Source organism: Homo sapiens, chromosome 15 (assembly GCF_000001405.40).
Source record: "Homo sapiens chromosome 15, GRCh38.p14 Primary Assembly".
In the NCBI taxonomy this organism is placed as follows: domain Eukaryota; kingdom Metazoa; phylum Chordata; class Mammalia; order Primates; family Hominidae; genus Homo; species Homo sapiens.
This window is the reverse complement of record NC_000015.10, coordinates 90,306,178-90,306,813: the sequence shown is the minus strand read 5'-3', so window position 1 is coordinate 90,306,813 and position 636 is coordinate 90,306,178. Positions and strand designations below refer to the sequence as shown.

The 636-nt window shown below is 44.5% G+C and overlaps 1 annotated feature.

Annotated features, from left to right (window-relative positions):
• Positions 220-269: an enhancer, noted in NCBI's record as "active region_10075". NCBI's record gives its function as "activates an Ori minimal core promoter by ATAC-STARR-seq in GM12878 lymphoblastoid cells {active_cell/tissue: GM12878}" and the evidence as "EXISTENCE:reporter gene assay evidence [ECO:0000049][PMID:35858748]".

Here is a 636-nt window from a genome sequence, read left to right as displayed (position 1 = left end):
GGGCCAGGAATTTAATCTTACTACTGGGTTAATGCTTTTACTTGGGTGGCTTTTTAACCTCAATAAGTGAGCTGTACTTCCTCCCACCATCACTTTCATAATTGCTGTGAAAAGAGGCCCTCGTGTGGGTTGCTGCAGAGACAGCCTGGGGAAAGCCGGTGAAGTTAAATGCGCTGCTTGAAAGCAGAGACACCCACTTCTAGCCCCTCCAGCCCGAGCAAGCCGTTAGATTTGGACCCTAGCAGGGACAAGGTCAATTTCTCTTTGCTTTTTTTCTTCCATTTCCTGTTCTTCCACTTCTTCTATTGCCTTCTCACAGCTATTCCAGGCTCTCTCCTTCTTTTTCTCTTCTCTTTTCGTGTTTTCAAACAACAGGATAACTTTCAAAGCCTTTCCTTTCTTTTTTCACTCTACCCACAACCCCTTGGCTGTTCAAATGCCTAAGTTCACCCTTCAGCTAAAGAGACAGTGCAACTTTTATAGTCAAGAATGTAGGCCAAGAAGCCAGACTTCCTGGGGCTGAATCCAATTTGCCAGGGAGACTTATGGAATCTCTCAGGTCCTCGGTTTCTGCATCTGTCAAGTGGGAATGATACTAATAGTTCTTATCCCAGAAGATTATTATGTGAGTCAAAT